This window comes from Homo sapiens, chromosome X (assembly GCF_000001405.40).
Source record: "Homo sapiens chromosome X, GRCh38.p14 Primary Assembly".
Classification (NCBI taxonomy): Eukaryota; Metazoa; Chordata; class Mammalia; order Primates; family Hominidae; genus Homo; species Homo sapiens.
The window spans coordinates 75246960-75261210 of record NC_000023.11 but is presented as its reverse complement, the minus strand read 5'-3'; the positions used below and the strand labels follow the sequence as shown (position 1 = coordinate 75261210).

General features: G+C 40.9%; 1 protein-coding gene and 1 long non-coding RNA gene across 3 annotated transcripts in view; one reads left to right on the top strand and one right to left on the bottom strand.

Moving 5' to 3' along the window:
• UPRT (uracil phosphoribosyltransferase homolog) overlaps window positions 1-14251 on the bottom strand; it is a 148529-nt gene that overhangs the window by 43687 nt on the left and 90591 nt on the right. The window lies entirely within an intron of this gene.
• LOC124905200 (uncharacterized) overlaps window positions 1-14251 on the top strand; it is a 58324-nt gene that overhangs the window by 12826 nt on the left and 31247 nt on the right. The window lies entirely within an intron of this gene.

The following is a 14251-nucleotide window of genomic DNA, read 5'->3' as shown; positions in this document are numbered from 1 at the left end:
TGCTCTTGCTTCTCTAGTTCTTTTAATTGTGATGTTAGGGTGTCAATTTTGGATCTTTCCTGCTTTCTCTTGTGGGCATTTAGTGCTATAAATTTCCCTCTACACACTGCTTTAAATGTGTCCCAGAGATTCTGGTATGTTGTATCTTTGTTCTCATTGGTTTCAAAGAACATCTTTATTTCTGCTTTCATTTCGTTATTTAACCAGTAGTCATTCAGGAGCAAGTTGTTTAGTTTCCATGTAGTTGTGCAGTTTTGTGTGAGTTTCCTAATCCTCAGTTCTCATTTGATTGCACTGTGGTCTGAGAGACAGTTTGTTGTGATTTCTGTTCTTTTACATTTGCTGAGGAGTGCTTTACTTACAATTATGTGGTCAATTTTAGAATACATGTGATGTGGTGCTGAGAAGAATGTATATTCTGTTGATTTGGGGTGGAGAGTTCTGTAGATGTCTATTAGGTCTTCTTGGTGAAGAGCTGAGTTCAAGTCCTGGATACCTTTGTTGACCTTCTATCTCATTGATCTGTCTAATGTTGACAGTGGAGTGTTAAAGTCTCCCGTTATTATTGTGTGGGAGTCTAAGTCTCCTTGTAGGTCTCTAAGGACTTGCTTTATGAATCTGGGTGCTCCTGTATTCAGTGCATATATATTTAAAATAGTTAGCTCTTCTTATTGAATTGATCCACTTACCATTTTGTAATGTCCTTCTTTGTCTCCTTTGAACTTTGTTGGTTTAAAGTCTGTTTTATCAGAGACTAGGATTGCAACCTCTGCTTTTTTTTTGCTTTCCATTTGTTTGGTAGATCTTCCTCCATCCCTTTATTTTGAACCTATGTGCGTCTGCACGTGAGATGGTCTCCTGAATACAGCACACTGATGGGTCTTGACTCTTTATCCAATTTGCCAGTCTGTGTCTTTTAATTGGAGCATTTAGCCCATTTACATTTAAGGTTAATATTGTTATGTGTGAATCTAATCCTGTCATTATGATGTTAGCTGGTTATTTTGCCCATTAATTGATAGTTTCTTCCTAGCATCAATTGTCTTTACAATTTGGCATGTTTTTGCAGTGGCTGGTACCCGTTGTTTCTTTTCATGTTGAGTGCTTCCTTCAGGAGCTCTTGTAAGGCAGGCCTGGTGGTGATAAAATCTCTCAGCATTTGCTTGTCTGTAAAGGATTTTATTTCTCCTTCACTTATGAAGCTTAGTTTGGCTGGATGTGAAATTCTGGGTTGAAAATTCTTTTCTTTAAGAATGTTGAATATTGGCCCCCACTCTCTTCTGGCTTGTATGGTTCCTGCAGAGAGATCTGCTATTAGTCTGATGGGCTTCCCCTTTGTGGGTAACTCGACCTTTCTCTCTGGCTGCCCTTAACAGTTTTTTCCTTCATTTCAACCTTGGTGAATCTATTATGTGTCTTGGGGTTGCTCTTCTCGAGGAGTATCTTTGTGGTGTTCTCCGTACTTCCTGAATTTGAATGTTGGCATGTCTTGCTATGTTGGGGAAGTTCTCCTGGATAATATCCTGCAGTGTTTTCCAACTTGTTTCCATTCTCCCCATCACTTTCAGGTACACCAATTAAATGTAGATTTGGTCTTTTCACATAGTGCCATATTTCTCAGAGGCTTTGTTTGTTCCTTTTCATTCTCTTTTCTCTGATCTTCTTTTCTCGCTTTATTTCATTAAGTTGGTCTTCAATCTCTGATATCCTTTCTTCTGCTTGGTCGATTCAGCTGTTGATACTCGTGTATGCTTCAAAAGGTCTCGTTCTGTGTTTCTGAGCTCCATCCGGTCATTTCTGTTCATCTCTAAACTGGTTATTCTAGTTAGCAATTCTTCTAACCATTAGCTTCCTTGCATTGGGTTAGAACATGCTCCTTTAGCTCGGAGGAGTTTGTTATTACCCACCTTCTGATGCCTACTTCTGTCAATTCATCAAACTCATTCTCCATCCAGTTTTGTTCCCTTGCTGGTGAGGAGTTGTGATATTTTGGAGGAGTAGAGGCATTTTGGTTTTTGGAATTGTCAGGCTTTTTGCACTGGTTTCTCCCCATCTTCATGGATTTATCTCTTTTTGGTCTTTGATGTCGGTGACCTTCGGATGGGGTCTCTTAGTGGATATCCTCTTTGTTGATGTTGATGCTATCCCTTTCTGTTTGTTAGTTTTCCTTCTAACAGTCAGGTCCCTCTGATGCAGGTCTGCTGGAGTTTGCTGGAGGTCCACTCCAGACCCTGTTTGCCTGGGTATCACCAGCAGAGGCTGCAGAACAGCAAATATTGCTGCCTGTTCCTTCTTCTGGAAGCTTCATCCCAGAGGGGTGCCTGCCAGATGTCAGCCAGAGCTCTCCTGTATGAGGTGTCTGTTGGCCCCTACTGGGATGCGTCTCCCAGTCAGGATACATGGGGGTCAGGGACCCTCTTGAGGAGGGAGTCTGTCCCTTAGCAGAGCTCACTGTGCTGTGAGATCCGCTGCTCTCTTCAGAGCCATCATGCAGGGACATTTATTTCTGCTGAAGCTATGCCCACAGCCGCCCCTTCCCTGAGGTGCTCTGTCCCAGGAAGATGGGGGTTTTATCTATAAGCCCCTGACTGGGGTTGCTGCCTTTCTTTCAGAGATGCCCTTCCCAGAGAGGAGGAATCTAGAGAGGCAGTCTGGCCACAGTGGCCTTGCTGAGCTGCCATTGGCTCCACCCAGTTTGAACTTCCTCGTGGCTTTGTTTACACTGTGAGAGTAAAACCTCCTACTCATGCCTCAGCAGTGGGAGATGCCCCTCCCCAAACCAAGCTCAAGCATCCCAGGTCAACCTCAGACTACTGTACTGGCAGCGAGAATTTCAAGCCAGTGGATCTTAGCTTGCTGGGCTCCATGGGGGTGGGACCTGCCAAGCCAGACCAGTTGGCTCCCTGGCTTCAGCCCTCTTTCCAGGGGAGTGAATGGTCCTATCTCACTGGTGTTCCATGCGCTACTGGCGTATGGAAAAAAAAAAAAGAAAGAAAAAAGGAAAAAAAAAAAAAAAACACCTGCAGCTAGCTTGGTGTCTGCCGAAATGGCTACCTAGTTTTGTGTTTGAAACCCAGGGCCCTGGTGGCATAGGCTCCAGAGGGAATCTCCAGGTCTGCAGGTTGTGAAGACTGTGGGAAAAGCACAGTATCTGGGCCAGAGTGCACCATTCCTCAAGGCACAGTCCTCCATGGCTTCGCTTGGGTAGGGGAGAGAATTCCCTGACCAATTTTGCTTCCTGGGTGAGGTGACGCCTCACCCTGCTTCAGCTTGCCCTCCATGGGCTGCACCCACTGTCCAACCAGTCCCAGTGAGAGGGACCGGGTACCTCAGTTGGAAATGCAGAAATCACCCTTCTTCTGCATCAATCTCATTGGGAGCTGCAGACTGGAGCTGCTCCTATTTGGCCATCTTGCAAGCAAATCCCTCAGATTTTTTTTTAAGGGATCATAAAAGGGTTGAGTTCTTGATTTGATTCTCAGCTTAGTTGCTGTTGGTGTATATAAGAGCTACTGATTTGTGTACATTAATCTTGTATCCAGAAACTTTACTGAATTCTTTTATCAGTTCTAGGAGCTTTCTGGAGAAACTTTAGGGTTTTCTAGGTAAACAATCATATCATCAACAGTGACAGTTTAACTTTCTCTTTATCGATTTGGATGCCCTTTATTTCTTTCTCTTGCCTGATTGCTCTGGCTAGGACTTTTAGTACTATGTTGAAGAGGAGCAGTGAGAGTGGGCATTGTTGTCTTGTTCCAGTTCTCAGAGAGAATGTTTTCAACTTTTCCCCATTCAATATTATGTTGGCTGTGGGTTTGTCATAGATGGCTTTTATTACTTTGAGGTACGTCCCCTTTATGCCAGTTTTCGTGAAAGTTTCAATCATAAAGGGAGGCTGGATTTTGTTGAATGCTTTTTCTGCATCTATTGAGATGATCATGTGATTTTTGTTTTTGATTCTGTTTATGTGGTATATCACATTTATCTACTTGCATATGTTAAACCATCCCTATGTCCCTGGTGTGAAACCCACTTGATCATGATGGATGATCTTTTTGATATGTTTTTGGATTTGGTTAGTTAGTATTTTGTTAAGGATTTTAGCATCTATGTACATCAGGGATACTGTCTGTACTTTTCTTTTTTGGTTATGTTTTTTCCTGGCTTGGGCATTAGAGTGATACTGGCTTCATAGAATTATATAGGGAGGGTTCCCTCTTTCTCTATCTTGTGGAATAGTGTCAGTAGGATTGGTCGCAATTCTTTTCTGAATGTCTGGTAGAATTCTGCCATTAATCCTTCTTGTCCTGGACTTTTTTTTGTTGGTAACTGTTAAATTACCATTTCAATCTCACTGCTTGTTATTGTTCTGTTCAGGGTATCTAATTCTTCCTGATTCAAGCTGGGATGGTTATTTCTTTCCAGGAACTTATCCATCTCTTCTAGGTTTTCTAGTTTTTGCAAATACAAGTGTTCATAGTAGCCTTGAATGATCTTTTATATTTCTGTGGTGTCAGTTGTAATATCTCCCATTTCATTTGTTAGTGAGTTTATTTGGATTTTCTCTTTTTTTTTCTTGGCTAATCTTGCTAACGACCTATCGATTTTATTTATCTTGTCAAAGAACCAGCTTTTTGTTTCATTTATCTTTTGTATTTTTTGTTGTTGTTGTTTCAATTTCATTTAGATCTGCTCTGATCTTGGTTATTTCCTTTCTTCTGCTGGGTTTGGGTTTGGTTGGTTCTTGTTTCTCTAGTTCCTTGAGGTGTGATCTTAGATTGTCTGTTTGTGCTCTTTTAGTCTTTCTGATGTAGGTGTTTATGGCTATGAACTTTCCTCTTAGCACCAGCTTTGCTGTACCTAGAGGATTTGATATGTTTTGTCACTATTGTCATTCAGTTTGAAGAATTTTTTAATTTCCATCTTGATTTCATTTTTGACCCAATGATCATTCAGGAGCAGATTATTTAATTTTCATGTATTTGCATAGTTTTGAAGGTTACTTTTGGAGTTGATATCCAGTTTTATTCCACTGTGGTCTGAGAGAGTGCTTGATATAACTTCCATTTTCTTAAATGTATTGAGGCACCTTTTGTGGCTTATCATATGGTCTATCTTGGAGAAAGTTCCACGCACTGTTGAATATAATGTATTTTCTGTGGTTGTTGGATGGAATGTTATGAATATATCTGTTAAGTCAATTTGCTCCAGAGTACAGTTTAAATCCATTGTTTATTTGTTGACTTTCTGTCTTGATGACCTTTCTAGTGCTGTCAGTGGAGTATTGAAGTCCCCCACTATTATTGTGTTTGCTGTCTAACTCATTTCTTAGGTCTATTAGTAATTTTTTTATAAATTTAAGAGCTCCAGTGTTAAGTGCATATATGTTTAGGATTGTGATACTTTCCTATTGGACAAGGCCTTTTACCATTATATAATTTCCCTCTTTGTCTTTATTAACTGCTGTTGCTTTCAAGTTTGTTTTGTCTGATATAAGAATAGCTACTTCAGCTCGCTTTTGGTGTCCATTTGCATGAAATGTCTCTTTCCATCCCTTTACCTTCATTTTATGTGAGTCCTTGTGTGTTAGGTGAGTCTCTTGAAAACAGCAGGTAGTTGGTTGGTGAGTTCTTATCCATTCTGCGGTTCTGTATCTTCTAAGTGGAGCATTTAGGTCACTCCAATTCAATGTTAGTATTGAGATGTGGGGTAGCATTCCTTTAATTGTGCTATCTGTTGCCTATATATTTTTGATTTTGTTTAATTGTATTTTTCTTTTATAGGACATGTGAGATTTATGCTTTAAAGAGGTTCTGTGTTGATGTGTTTCCAGGATTTGTTTCAAGATTTGGAGCTCCTTTTAGCAGTTCTTGTAGCGGTGGCTTGGTAGTGGTGAATTCTCTCAGCATTTATTTGTCTGAAAAAGACTGTATCTTTTTTTCATATATAAAGCTTAGTTTCACTGCATACAAAATTCTTCGCTGATGATAATTTTTTTGTTTGAGGAGGCTTAAGATAGGGTTCCAATCCCTTCCAGCTTGTAGGGTTTCTTTTGAGAAATCTGCTGTTAGTCTGATAGGTTTTCCTTTATAGGTTACTTGGCGCTTTTGTCTCACAGCTCTTAAGATTCTTTCCTGGCCGGGCGCGGTGGCTCACGCCTGTAATCCCAGCACTTTGGGAGGCCGAGGCGGGTGGATCATGAGGTCAGGAGATCGAGACCATCCTGGCTAACAAGGTGAAACCCCGTCTCTACTACAAATACAAAAAATTAGCCGGGTGCGGTGGCGGGCGCCTGTAGTCCCAGCTACTCGGGAGGCTGAGGCAGGAGAATGGCGTGAACCCGGGAAGCGGAGCTTGCAGTGTGCCGAGATTGCGCCACTGCAGTCCGCAGTCTGGCCTGGGCGACAGAGCGAGACTCCGTCTCAAAAAAAAAAAAAAAAAAAAAAAAAGATTCTTTCCTTCGTCTTAACTTTATATAACCTGATGAAAATGTGCCTAGGCAATGATCTTTTTGAGGCGAATTTCCCAGATGTTCTTTGTGCTTCTTGTATTTGGATGTCTAAGTCTCTAGCAAGGCTGGGGAAGTTTTCCTCAATTATTCCCCCAAATATGTTTTCCAAACTTTTAGATTTTTCTTCTTCTTCAAGAATGCCAATTACTCTTAGGTTTGGTTGTTTGACATAATGCCGGACTTCTTGGAGGCTTTGTTTATGTTTTCTTAAATTTTTTTGTCTTTGTTGCATTGGATTAATTCAAAGACATTATCTTCGAGCTCTGACTTTCTTTCTTCTACTTCTTTGATTCTATTGCTGAGACTTTCCAAATCATTTTTGCATTTCTATAAGTGTGTTCATTGTTTCCTGAAGTTTTGATTGTTTTTTATTTATGCTATTTCATTGACTATTTCTCCCTTCACTTCTTATATCATTTTTTAAATTTCCTTCCATGAGCTTCATCTTTCTCTGGTGCATTCCTGATTAGGTTAATAACTAACCTCCTGAAATCTTTTTCAGACAAATCAGGGATTTCTTCTTGGTTTGGATCCATTGCTATTGAGCCTCCCAGGTGACAAAGCAAGTATGGCTTTCCTTTTTCCCCTACTTGTGGAGTCCACACACCAGATTCACAGCCTCCCCCGAGTTTTGGCTAGGAGACTTCTCAATGAGTTCAAGTTGTTACAAAGTTCAGCTGGAGATTTCTTGCTCCCAAAGGCCTTTTCCCTGTGCCTCTGGAACCCTTCTGAAAGACCCCTGTGAGGCCAGGCAGAGATGGGTTGCTAGTTTACCCAGGGAGCTCACAGGGCATTCTCTGCTGCTTCCTCTACCCCTGTATTTTGCTCAGCTCTCTAAATTGACTCAGCTCCAGGTAAGGTCAGAATCTTCCATAACCTAGACCTTCAGTTTCCCCAGTGGGGGTTTGTGTTTGGGGATGAATAATCTCCCTTTTCTATTTTCACACTTTTGGCACTCAAAGTATTTGCATTGTCTCTCAGGTCCTGCAGGGGCAATCTGCTTCCTTCAGAGGGTCTGTGGGTCCTCTTAGGTTACCTGATTTATTCCTGTAGTGGTCCTCTAGAAAAATTTACGATCTGAGGCTCCACGCACTGCTCTGTCCATCGGAGTCAGCACTGCAATCTACTCCTGCCTCCCATCTGCCATGATCCTCTAAAGAGACTTCGGTTTTTCTGTTTTTAGTTCTTTTAGAAATCACCACACTGTCTTCCACAATGGCTGAACTACTTTACACTTCCACTTACAGTGTATAAGCATTCAATTTCTTCCACAACCTTGCCAGCATCTGTTATTTTTTGACTTTTTATTAATAGCCATTCTTACTTGTTGGAGATGCTATCTCATTGTGGTTTTCATTTGCATTTCTCAAATGACCAGTGATGTTGAATATTTTTTCATATAATTTTAGGTTGCACATATGTACTCTTTTGAAAAGTGTCTGTTCATGTCCTCTGCCCACTTCTTAATTGGGTTGTTTGTTTTTATTCTTTTTTTAAATTTTATTATTATTATACTTTAAGTATTAGGGTACATGTGCACAACGTGCAGGTTTGTTAATATGTATACATGTGCCATGTTGGTGTGCTGCACCCATTAACTCATCATTTAGCATTAGGTATATCTCCTAATGCTATCCCTCCCCCCTCCTCCAACCCCACAACAGTCCCCACAGTGTAATGTTCCCCTACCTGTGTCCATGTGTTCTCATTGTTCAATTCTCACCTATGAGTGACAACATGTGGTGTTTCGTTTTTTGTCCTTGTGATAGTTTGCTGAGAATGATGGCTTCCCGCTTCATCCATCTCCCTAAAAAGGACATGAACTCATCATTTTTTATGGCTGCATAGTATTCCATGGTGTATATGTGCCACATTTTCTTAATCTAGTCTATCATTGTTGGACATTTGGGTTGGTTCCAAGTCTTTGCTATTGTGAATAGTGCCACAATAAACATATGTGTGCATGTGTCTTTATAGCAGCATGATTTATAATCCTTTGGGTATATACCCAGTAATGGGAGAGCTGGGTCAGATGGTATTTCTAGTTCTAGATCCTAGTGGAATCGCCACACTGACTTCCACAATGGTTAAACTAGTTTACAGTCCCACCAACAGTGTAAAAGTGTTTCTATTTCTCCACATCCTCTCCAGCACCTGTTCTTTCTTGACTTTTTAATGATCGCCATTCTAACTGGTGTGAGATGGTATCTCATTGTGGTTTTGATTTGCATTTCTCCAATGGCCAGTGTTGATGAGCATTTTTTCATGTGTTTTTTGGCTGCATAAATGTCTTCTTTTGAGAAGTGTCTGTTCATGTCCTTCCCTCACTTTTTGATGGGGTTGTTTGTTTTTTTCTTGTAAATTTGTTTGAGTTAATTTTTGTCAGATGAGTAGGTTGCAAAAATTTTCTCCCATTCTGTAGGTTACCTGTTCACTCTGATGGTAGTTTCTTTTGTTGTGCAGAAGCTCTTTAGTTGAATTAGATCCCATTTGTCAATTTTGGCTTTTGTTGCCATTGCTTTTGGTGTTATAGACATGAAGTCCTTACACATGCCTATGTCCTGAATGGTACTGCCTAGGTTTTCTTCTAGCATTTTTATGGTTTTAGGTCTAACATGTAAGTCTTTAATACATCTTGAATTAATTTTTGTATAAGGTGTAAGGAAGGGATGCAGTTTCAGCTTTCTACATCTGGATAGCCAGTTTTCCCAGCACCATTTATTAAATAGGGAATCCTTTCCCCATTGCTTGTTTTTGTCAGGTTTGTCAAAGATCAGATAGTTGTAGATATGCGGCATTATTTCTGAGGGCTCTGTTCTGTTCCATTGGTCTATATCTCTGTTTTGGTACCAGTACCATGCTGTTTTGGTTACTGTAGCCTTGTAGTATAGTTTGAAGTCAGGTAGTGTGATGCCTCCAGCTTGGTTCTTTTGGCTTAGGATTGACTTGGTGATGCAGGCTCTTTTTTGGTTCTATATGAAATTTAAAGTAGATTTTCCAATTCTGTGAAGAAAGTCATTGGTAGCTTAATGGGGATGGCATTGAATCTATAAATTACCTTGGGCAGTATGGCCATTTTCACGACATTCATTCTTCCTACCCATGAGCATGGAATGTTCTTCCATTTGTTTGTATCCTCTTTTATTTCATTGAGCAGTGGTTTGTAGTTATCCTTGAAGAGGTCCTTCACGTCCCTTGTAAGTTGGATTCCTAGGTATTTTATTCTCTTTGAAGCAATTGTGAATGGGAGTTCACTCATGATTTGGGTCTCTGTTTGTCTGTTATTGGTGTATAAGAATGCTTGTGATTTTTGCACATTGATTTTGTGTCCTGAGACTTTGCTGAAGTTGCTTATCAGCTTAAGGAGATTTTGGGCTGAGACGATCGGGTTTTCTAGATATACAATCATGTCATCTGCAAACAGGGACAATTTGACTTCCTCTTTTCCAAATTGAATACCCTTTATTTCCTTCTCCTGCCTGATTGCCCTGGCCAGAACTTCCAACACTATGTTGAATGGGAGTAGTGAGAGAGGGCATCCCTGACTTGTACCAGTTTTCAAAGGGAATGCTTCCAGTTTTTGTCCATTTAGTATGATATTGGCTGTGGGTTTGTCATAGATAGCTCTTATTATTTTGAGATACATCCCATCAATACCTAATTTATTGAGAGTTTTTAGCATGAATGGCTGTTGAATTTTGTCAAAAGCCTTTTCTGCATCTATTGAGATAATCATGTCATTTTTGTCTTTGGTTCCGTTTATATGCTGGATTACGTTTATTGATTTGCATATGTTGAACTAGTCTTGCATCCCAGGGATGAAGCCCACTTGATCATGGTGGATAAGCTTTTTGATGTGCTGCTGGATTTGGTTTTCCAGGATTTTATTGAGGATTTTTGCATCAATGTTCATTAAGGATATTAGTCTAAAATTCTCTTTTTTTGTTGTGTCTCTGCCAGGCTTTGGTATCAGGATGATGCTGGCCTCATAAAATGAGTTAGGGAGGATTCCCTCTTTTTCTATTGATTGGAATAGTTTCAGAAGGAATGGTACCAGCTCCTCCTTGTACCTCTGGTAGAATTCGGCTGTGAATCCATCTGGTCCTGGACTTGTTTTGGTTGGTAAGCTATTAATTATTGCCTCAATTTCAGAGCCTGTTATTGGTCTATTCAGGGATTGAACTTCTTCCTGGTTTAGTCTTGGGAGGGTGTATGTGTCGAGGAATTTATCCATTTCTTCTAGATTTTCTAGTTTATTTGCATAGAGGTGTTTATAGTATTCTTTCATGGTAGTTTGTATTTCTGTGGGATCGGTGGTGATATCCCCTTTATTACTTTTTATTGCATCTAATTGATTCTTCTCTCTTTTCTTCTTTATTAGTCTTGCTAGTGGTCTATCAATTTTGTTGATCTTTTCAAAAAACCAGCTCCTGAATTCATTAATTTTTTGAAGGGTTTTTTTTGTCTCTATTTCCTTCAGTTCTGCTCTGATCTTAGTTATTTCTTGCCTTCTGCTAGCTTTTGAATGTGTTTGCTCTTGCTTCTCTAGTTCTCTTAATTGTGATGTTAGGGTGTCAATTTTAGATCTTTCCTGCTTTCTGTTGTGAGCATTTAGTGCTATAAATTTCCCTCTACACACTGCTTTGAATGTGTCCCAGAGATTCTGGTATGTTGTGTCTTTGTTCTCTTTGCTTTCAAAGAACATCTTTATTTCTGCCTTTGTTTCGTTATGTACCCAGTAGTCATTCAGGAGGAGGTTGTTCAGTTTCCATGTAGTTGAGCAGTTTTGAGTGAGTTTGTTAATCCTGAGTTCCAGTTTGATTGCACTGTGGTCTGAGAGACAGTTTGTTATAATTTCTGTTCTTTTACATTTGCTGAGGAGTGCTTTACTTCCAACTATGTGGTCAATTTTGGAATAGGTGTGGTGTGGTGCTGAGAAGAATGTATATTCTGTTGATTTAGGGTGAAGAGTTCTGTAGGTGTCTATTAGGTCCGCTTGGTGCAGAGCTGAGTTCAATTCCTGGAGACCCTTGTTAACTTTCTGTCTCACAGATCTGTCTAATGTTGACAGTGGGGTGTTAGAGTCTCCCATTATTATTGTGTGGGAGTCTAAGTCTCTTTGTAGGTCACTAAGGACTTGCTTTATGAATCTGGGTGCTCCTGTATTGGGTGCATATATATTTAGGATTGTCAGCTCTTCTTGTTGAATTGATCATTTTACCATTATGTAATGGCCTTCTTTGTCTCTTTTGATCTTTGTTGGTTTAAAATCTGTTTTATCAGAGACTAGGATTGCAACCACTGACTTTTTTTTGTTTTCCATTTGCTTGGTAGATCTTCCTCCATCCCTTTATTTTGAGCCTATGTGTTTCTCTGCACGTGAGATGGGTTTCCTGAATACAGCACACCGATGGGTCTTGACTCTTTATCCAATTTGCCAGTCTGTACATTTTAATTGGAGCATTTAGCCCATTTACATTTAAGGTTAATATTGTTATGTGTGAATTTGATCCTGTCATTATGATGTTAGCTGGTTATTTTGCTCGTTAGTTGATGCAGCTCTTCCTAGACTTGACGGTCTTTACCATTTGGCATGTTTTTGCAGTGGCTGGTACTGGTTGTTCCTCTCCGTGTTTAACACTTCCTTTAGGAGCTCTTTTAGGGCAGGCCTGGTGGTGACAAAATCTCTCGGCATTTGCTTGTCTGTAAAGTATTTTATTTCTCCTTCACTTATGAAGCTTAGTTTGGCTGGATATGAAATTCTGGGTTGAAAATTCTTTTCTTTAAGAATGTTGAATATTAGCCCCCACTCTCTTCTGGCTTGTAGAATTTCTGCCGAGAGATCAGCTGGTAGTCTGATGGGCTTCCCTTTGTGGATAACCCGACCTTTCTCTCTGGCTGCCCTTAACATTTTTTCATTCATTTCAACTTTGGTGAATCTCACAATTGTGTGTCTTGGAGTTGCTCTTCTCAAGGAATTTCTTTGTGGTGTTCCCTGTATTTCCTGAATTTGAATGTTGGCCTGCTTTGCTAGATTGGGGAAGTTCTCCTGGAGAATATCCTGCAGAGTGTTTTCCAACTTGGTTCCATTCTCCCCGTCACTTTCAGGTACACCAATCAGACGTAGATTTGGTCTTTTCACATAGTCCCATATTTCTTGGAGGCTTTGTTCATTTCTTTTTAGTCTTTTTTCTCTAAACTTCTCTTCACACTTCATTTCATTCATTTTGTCTTCCATCGCTGATACCCTTTCTTCCCGTTGATTGCATCAGCTACTGAGAGTTGTGCATTTGTCACGTATTTCTCATGCCATGGTTTTCAGCTGCATCAGGTCATTTAAGGACTTCTTTACACTGGTTATTCTAGTTAGCCATTCGTCTAATTTTTTTTCAAGGTTTTTATCTTCTTTGCCATTGGTTTGAACTTCCTCCTTTAGCTCGGAGTAGTTTGATCATCTGAAGCCTTCTTCTCTCGTCAAAGTCATTCTCTGTTCAGCTTTGTTCTGTTGCTGGTGAGGAGCTGCGTTCCTTTGGAGGAGGAGAGGTGTTCTGATTTTTAGAGTTTCCAGTTTTTCTGCGCTGTTTTTCCCACATCTTTATGGTTTTATCTACCTTTGGTCTTTGAAGATGGTGACATACAGTTGGGTTTTTGGTGTGGATGTCCTTTCTGTTTGTTAGTTTTGCTTCTAACCGTCAGGACCCTCAGCTGCAGAGTTTACTGGAGGTCCACTCCAAACCCTGTTTGCCTGGGCATCAGCAACAATGGCTGCAGAACAGCGGATATTGGTGAACCACAAATGCTGCTGCCTGATCGTTCCTCTGGAAGTTTTGTCTCAGAGGAGTACCCGGCCCTGTGAGGTGTCAGTCTGCCCATACTGAGGGGTGCCTCCTAGTTAGGCTACTCGGGGGTCAGAGACCCACTTGAGGAGGTAGTCTGCCCATTCTCAGATCTCAAGCTGCGTGCTGTGAGAACCACTACTCTCTTCAAAGCTGTCAGACAGGGACATTTAAGTCTGCAGAGTTTACTGCTGCCTTTTGTTTGTGCCCTGCCCCCAGAGGTGGAGCCTATAGAGGCAGGCAGGCCTCCTTGAGCTATGGTGGGCTCCACCCAGTTCGAGCTTGGCGGCTTTGTTTACCTAGTCAAGCCTCGGCAATATCTGGTGCCCCTCCCCCAGCCTCACTGCCGCTTTGCAGTTTGATCTCAGACTGCTGTGCTAGCAATGAGCAAGGCTCTGTGGGCATAGGACCCTCTGAACCAGGTGCGGGATATAGTGTCTTGGTGTGCCGTTTGTTAAACCCATTGGAAAAGGACATTATTAGAGTGGGAGTGACCCGATATTCCAGGTGCCATCTGTCACCCCTTTTTTTTGACTAGGAAAGGGAATTCCCTTACCCCTTGCGCTTCCCGGATGAGGCAATGCTTCACCGTGCTTCAGCCCACACACGGTGTGCTGCTTCCACTGTCCTGCACCCACTCTCTGGCACTCCCCAGTGAGATGAACCCGGAACCTCAGTTGGAAATGCAGAAATCACCCATCTTCTGTGTCACTCATGCTGGGAGCTCTGTTTTTTTTCTTAAGCCACCCAGCCATTCTGATTTTTAAAAATCATACACTTTGACGAAGAGTGACTTACAGTCTCCCTTTTAAAAGAGGGATAACTTGAAAATTAGAGACCAACTAATTATGCTAAAAAATTGAGTGACATTTGACAAGTTTCTTCCTCTCTCTGTATTTCACTT